General features: G+C 39.1%; 1 pseudogene; it reads left to right on the top strand.

The window, feature by feature from the left end:
• On the top strand, positions 1,497 to 3,065 carry PA2G4P3 (proliferation-associated 2G4 pseudogene 3; annotated as a pseudogene).

The following is a 7,578-nucleotide window of genomic DNA, read 5'->3' as shown; positions in this document are numbered from 1 at the left end:
TGTGACAGCCAAGGGGTAGAGTCAAGTATCCAGGTACTTGGTAGGCAAAGAAGAAATTTTTGAAGTTGAGACCTGATGCCAGAAAGAAGATGGGAATGCAGAATCTGTTCATCTGCTCATTTATTCCACAAATAGTTACTGAATTCTGGCATTATGCTAGCCACAAGTTTGCACATGCAATTATAATATAGTCCTCAGTCTTACAGTGATTAGAGCTTACTGACCAGCAATTTCCACTTAAAAAATTTGGCCTAGATCATGATTAAACTGTTAAGCACCTTTAAAAATTATCTTACCAGGCCGGGCGTGGTGGCTCACGCCTGTAATCCCAGCACTTTGGGAGGCTGAGGAGGGCGGATAACGAGGTCAGGAGATCGAGACCATCCTGGCCAACACAGTAAAACCCTGTCTCCACTAAAAAAAAAAAAATACAAAAAATTAGCTGGGCGTGATGGTGGGCGCCTGTAGTCCCAGCTACTCGGGAGGCTGAGGCAGAATGGCCTGAACCCAGGAGGCGGAGCTTGCAGTGAGCCAAGATGGCGCCACTGCACTCCAGCTTGGCCGACAGAGCGAGACTCTTGTCTCAAAAAAAAAAAGAAAAAATTATCTTACCTTTGTAATTTGATAAGACTAATTTATTCCAAAGTTTAGTTTCAGCGATGGTATCCTTCATGACCTTTGCCAAATCACATATAATCTCCATGATTTACTTTATATATTTTTCTTTGCATCAACTTGCTATTTGTACCTAAAAACAATTGAGACAGCCAGGTGGGAGGCGGTCCCTGGAGAAACTCCAACCAGCCTCCCCACTGAGGTGGAGCCTTGGGAAGTTCATGCCCTTTGCAGTGGGGTGAAGCTTGGCCCCTCCTCTTCCTGTGCGGAACCTAGGATTCCAACCCTCTGGCAGGAAGTGCTGTAGCGGAGGGTTTCTCCCTTGGTTTTTTTTTCCCCTTTTTCACCCAATAAAACCCTGCTTTACTCACCCTTTAAACCATCTGTGAACCTAAATTTTCATGGTCGTGGGCCAGACAAGAACCCCGTCTTTAGCTGAAGTAAGGAAAAGTCCTGCAACACAATTATGTAAAATATAAAATTTAAATCAGTACCGTAAGTAAGAAATTAATACCGTTTGCCATGAATGTTTGGTAAATACGTAAAAATAAATACAATGAAAACCAAATAATACTGTTAAGTCATACTTAGATGCAGTTTCCTGATCAGTGGTCAATAATGGCTTTCATGTTTTTAAGAATGGGTACTAGCAATCATTAGAAAGGTGTTAAAGATATATTTTCAACAAATTGTTGCTTTCTCCTTAACCCTAAGTACCTGAAAACAACAAAAAAAATTATAAAGTTACTAATGCTTATTCAGTTATACATTATACATAATAGGGAGAACACTAGGTTTAACAAATACAAAAATTTCCTAACAGACTCTAAAAAATAAACATTGACATTAAAATGTAAACCCATATATAGGAATCCCCAAAATCTCGCTCTCGCCTGCCTGCCTGCTCTCTTGCTTACTTGCGCTTTCACTTGCCCCCTTCTCGAGGATCCAAGGTGTGCTCTGACCACAGCCTGCAGCTGGGATGGGAGACAGAGGAGGTGGCTCAGGGAAAATGAGGCTGCACTGCTGGTGGTAGGAAGATGTTGGGCAGGGATGAGCAGCAAGAGCAAACTATCGCTGAGGACCTGGTCATGACCAAGTATCAGATGGGTGGGTGACATCGCCAGCTGGGTACTTTGGTCCTTGGTGGAAGCATCCAGCTCAGGTGTGTGAGTACTGAGGCTGTGTGAGGAAGGTGATGCCATGATTATGGCAGAAACAGGGAAAATCTTCAAGAAAGTAAAGGAAATGAAGAAAAGTATTGCTTTTCCCACCAGCATTTTGGTAAATAACTGTGTGGGTCACTTCTCTCCTTTGAAGAGTGACAAAGACTGTATTCTCAAGGAAGGTAACCTGGTAAAAATTGACCTTGGTGTCCAAGTGGATGGCTTCATCGCTAATGTAACTCATACTTTTGTGGTGGATGTAGCTCAGGGGATCCAAATAACAAGGCAGAAAGCAGATGTTATTAAGGCAGCCCACCTTTGTGTTGAAGCTGCCCTATGCCTGGTCAAACCTGGAAACCATAACACACAAGTGACAGAAGCCTGGAACAAAGTTGGTCATTCATTTAACTGCATGCCAGTAGAAGATATGCTGTCACACCAATTGAAGCAACATGTCATTGATGGTGAGAAAACTGTTACCCAGAACCCTGCAGACCAGCAGAAGAAGGACCATGAAAAAGCTGAATTTGATGTTTTCATCAGCATAGGAGAGGGCAAGGCCAAGGATGCAGGACTACTATTTACAAAGGAGACCCCTCTAAATAATATGGACTACAAATGCAAACTTCACGTGCCTTCTTCAGCGAGGTGGAAAGGTGTTTTAATGCTTTGTTGTTTACTTTAAGAGCATTTGAAGATGAGAAGTAGGCTTGGATGGGTGTGGTGGAGTGCACCAAACATGGACTGCTGCAACTATTTAATGTTCTGTATGAAAAAAAGGGTGAATCTGTTGACCAGTTTAAATTTACAGTTCTGCTCATGCCCAGTGGCTCCATGCTGATAACCAGTGGTCCCTTTGAGCCTGACCTCTACAAGTCTGAGATAGAGGTCCAGGATCCAGAGCTAAAGACCCTCCTACAGAGTTCTTCAAGTTGAAAAACCCATAAAAAGAAAAAAAAAGAAGGCCTCCCAGAGAACACCACCAGTAGGGAAACATTAGAAGAAAAGGAAGCTGGGGACTGGGGTGGGGCCTTCTCCCCAGATTGCTGCTCCTGCCTCATCCCCTTCCCACTGTATCCCAGGCTCTGGGAAGTGCAGTTCTTCTACGCCTGGGACCACCAGCAGAGCAGGGGTCTCCTTGCCCCCATCCCAGTTCCCCATCCCACCCCCTTCCAGCAACAACCAGCTCCAGCTGACTCTGGTCTTGGGAGGTGAGCCTTTCCAACCATGGAAGACTACTTTAAATGAAAAAAAGAAACTGAATAATAAAATCAGGAGTCAAAAAACAAAAAAGAAAGAAAGAAACTCCCACAGATTCAACAACAAAAAAATGTCTTGGAACAACATAAAGACTTCTTGAAACTATTAAGGAATTGTAGCAAGGTTGTAGAATACAGGTAAATATACAAACATCAATCACTTTCCTATATATGAGCAAGGAACAAGTGGAATTTCAAATTAAAATATATCATCTACATTAACAACCAATACCATGAAACACTTAAGTATAAATCTAACAAAATATGTTCAAGAGCTATATGAAGAAAATGACAAAACTCTGATGAAAGAAATTAAAGAACTAAGTGGAGGGATATTCCATGTTTATTACTACAAAGACTCAATATGATTTTTCCCAACTTGGTCTATAGATTTAACATAATCCCAATCAAAATCTCAGCAACTTATTTTGCGGTTATCAAAAAACTAATTATAAATTTTATATGAAGAAGCAAAAGACCCAGAATAGCCAAAACAATATTGAAGGAGAACAAAATTGGGACTACTTGACTTCAAGACTTAGTATAAAGTTACAGTAATCAAGACAGTATGCTATTGCAAAAAGAAAAAATAATAGCCTGGTGCAGTGGTTCATGCCTGTAATCACAACATTTTGGGAGGCAGAGGCAGGAGGATTGTTTGAGGCCAGGACTTTGAGGCCAGCCTGGACAACATAGTGAGACTCTGTCTCTACACAAAAATTAAAAATTAGCCATGTATGGTGGCTTGCAACTATAGGCCCAGCAACTCAGGAGGCTGAGGTAGGAGAAGAGCCCAGTAGTTTGAGGCTGCAACGAGCTACGATCATGCAATCTCATCACTGCACTCAAAGCTGGATAACAGAGTGATACTCTGTCTCTAAATAATAAAAATTTAAAAAGACAAATAGTTTAATGGAACATAATATAGAGACCAGTTAGAGACAAGAAATAAGCTCACACAAATGTCAATTGATCTTTGACAAGGAAACAAAGGCAATACAATGGAGAAAAGATAGTCTTTCAACAAATAGTGCTGGAGAAAGATGACATCTACATGCAAAAAAAAATTTAAAAAGGAATCTAGGCACAGACTTTACATGCTCCACAAAAAATATTTTGAAATGAATCATAGATGTAAATGTAAAATGCAAAAACTACAAAACTACAAAAAGATAACATAGGAGAACATTTAAATGACCTTTGACTTGGTAATGACTTTTTATATATAATGCCAGAGGCATGATCCATGAAAGAAATAATTGGTAAGCTGAACTTCATTAAAACTGAAAACTTCTGCTCTGCAAAATGTGCTACTAAAAGAATTAGAAGACAAGCCACAGACAAGAAGAAAGCATTTGCAAAAGTCACAACTAACAAAGGACTATTATCCAAAATAGACAAAAGAATCTTAAAATTCAACAATAAGAAAATGAACCACTCAGTTGAAAATGGGCAAAAGGCCTGAACAGACACCTCATAAAAAAGATACAGAAGACAAGTATACATATGAAAAAGTACTCAACATCACATGTCATTAGAAAATTGCATATTAAAACAACAATGACATACCACTACTCACCTATTAGAATGGCCAAAATACAAAACACTGACAACAGCAAATGCTGACAAGGATGTGGAGCAACAGGAACTCCCATTCATTGCTGATTGGAATGCAACATGGCACAGCCAGTTTGGAAAACAGTTTGGCACTTTCTTACCATGCAATTTAGCAATTCTGCTCCTTGGTATTTATCCAAATAAACTGTAAACTTATGCCCACACAAAAACCAATACATGGATGTTTACAGTAGCTTTAATTTCCATAAACTCTAAATTTCTTTAAATATAAATTTCTGTAAATTTCAGTTTAATTTTTATAAACTGAAAGCAACCCTGATGTCCTTCATTAGGTGAATGGAGAGATAAACTGATAATCCAATTTAACGATGGAATATTATTCAACACTCAGAAGAAATGAGCTATCAAGCCATGAAAAGACATGGAGGAACTTTAGAAGCATTCAGATTGGTGAAAGACGCCAATCTAAAGAGGCTACATGCAGTATTATTCCAACTACATGACATTCTAGGAAATGCAAAGCTATGGAGACAGTAAAAAAAATCAGTGATTGCCAGGTATTAGGAGGAAAGGAAGGTAAATACATGGAGTATAGAGGATTTTTAAGGCAATGAGGTTATCCTGTATGATACTATAATGGTGATCATGTCACACATTTGTCAAAACTTATAACAATGTACCACTTCTATTTATCCATAGAATTTTCCTTTAAGAATCCATAGAATATACCACACCAATAGTAAACCCTGCTATAAACTATGGACTTTTGAGTAATAATGATGCATCAATACAGATTCATTGATTGTAACTAATACATCACTCTAGTGTCAGATGTTGATTACAGAGGAGGCTGTGCAAGTGTAGGGACAGCCAGTGTATGGGAACACTGTACTTTCTGCTCAATTTAGCTGTGAAGTTAAAACTGCTCTAAGAAAATAAAGTCTGCTTAAAAAAAAAAAGATACAGGAAAAAGATGCATCCCCATTACCTTCCTCTATTTGTTTTAAAATGTAAACGGATTCATCTTATTTTGTGGAGTTTCAGTAATTGATCAATTCATGGAGGGGTTGTGTTCCCAGGTCAACTTGTAAGTCAATTGTTGGAACTCAGAACAAACTTTTCCAAAGAGACAGCTGTTAAATCGAACTACATATGGCCTGAGAACGACTCCATACTTCTATATTTGAGTCTGTGGAGGAACTGCAACCTAAGTTAATATAATAGGTAGACAAAATTGAGAACCTATCTTCGGAGTGTGCACCTGTAACAGTGGCTGAGTCTTGGCCAATCCCAGCAGCCAAACTTCAACCATTCATACACTGTCGAGTGTTCAAACTGTGTTCAACTAAGGCTAATGCTGAGCTGTACCTCACTTCTGATTTCTGTAGGTCACTTCCCTTTTTTTGTCTATAAATCTTTCACCACGTGGCTGTGCTGGAGTCTGTCTGAATCTGCTGTGATTCTGGGGGCTTCGCAATTCGCGAATTGTTCATTGCTCAATTAAACTCCTTCACATTTAATTCGGCTGAACTTTTTCTCTTAAGACAACATTCTCAGAGTGTTTAAATTCCTGTTCTCATCTACAAAAGCCTTTTCAGCTCAGTCTATAACTGAGCATCTCGACTCAATATTTTTAAAAAAACCAATATGTTAGGTACACCAGTTAGAGCTTTCTACCCATTCTCATAAAAGTAGAACTGTATGAGTTCTGAGTTGCATTTATTTGGATCTCTGCCCCAGCATTTTTTGAATTAAAAAAAAATAGGGTAAGAATTCTAGATTTATGGAAGGGGAGGGGGGGTTTCCTGGATAATATACTGTACTGGGATGCACAAAAGGTGGTAGTTTTCAGGGGAGACTACAGCTAGGTGTAAATCTTTGGAGGTTACAGGTTTGGAAGTTGGAGAAGGCATTTATGTATGGATTACTATTAAGTGTTTTTTTTTTCTTTAGCTAAGCGTTTCTAACTTACGCTGGTATTCTTCCAAATATGAGAATCATAATCATGGCTCATATTTAGTGGGTGGTTTTATGTGCATGAAATTAAACTAAAGACTTGGTATGGATTATCCAGTTAATCCTCAAAACAACCCTAAGAGATAAGTACTGTTATTATCCCCATTTTACAATAAGGAATTTTAAGCTTGGATAGTTTCAATAACTTGCCCAAAATCTCAGATGTAATAAGTGGATATGTCTGGATTTAAATTGACTTAGTCTGCTAGTAGAGCTCAAACATCTAACTGCTGCTTAAGGAAGTGGCTCAAATAAGAAAAAAAGAAAGAAAATGCCTGTTTAAAAATCAGCCTTGCTATTGGACTTGTGTCTGTTAAACACATAATGTGACCAGAAAAATATACTGAAATAATTTGGGGCTCTGAATAATTCAGGTCATGAAATACTATGCTAACCCAAAGAATCCAGGTAAGTCTCCAAAGCTCAACACAAGTTTACTTACCTGAAAAATTGTACATAGTCACCTCAGTTTTAATTTGAAGAACTGAAAGAGGAAGCAAAAATTTATTGCCTTCAAATTGACATGTGCATAATACTTTTATATGTCACATCAACTGTGCTTTCGCTTTTACTAAGTGAACCTTGGCTGAAACAATACTTTGTTTCCTGTTTGATTATTTTGTAATAAGCCTGGGCTAAATACTGGAAAAAATGCTGTGAAGAGAAGAGAGCAGTAAGCAGAGAACAGAGTAAATGACCTATCTGAGCAGTAGCATCTTCGATTCTTTGATCTGGGGAACCCTCTGATCAATGCAACATGCAGAGGCATAGGTCAGGGGTTCCCTCTGCATCCAGTGGTGAAAGAGACGCTTTGCCTAACTGCCACTCAGGGGAAACAATTGGGCTGAAGCTGGAGGAGCAGAAGAGAGAGGTAGTGAGAGACCCAGTAGGGAGCCCGCACAGAAGCATTCACACCATGGGCTATTACGGCATGACCCGGAAGG

Source organism: Homo sapiens, chromosome 18 (assembly GCF_000001405.40).
Source record: "Homo sapiens chromosome 18, GRCh38.p14 Primary Assembly".
In the NCBI taxonomy this organism is placed as follows: Eukaryota; Metazoa; Chordata; class Mammalia; order Primates; family Hominidae; genus Homo; species Homo sapiens.
The sequence above is the reverse complement of the archived record's forward strand: the minus strand, read 5'-3'. Positions and strand labels throughout refer to the sequence as shown.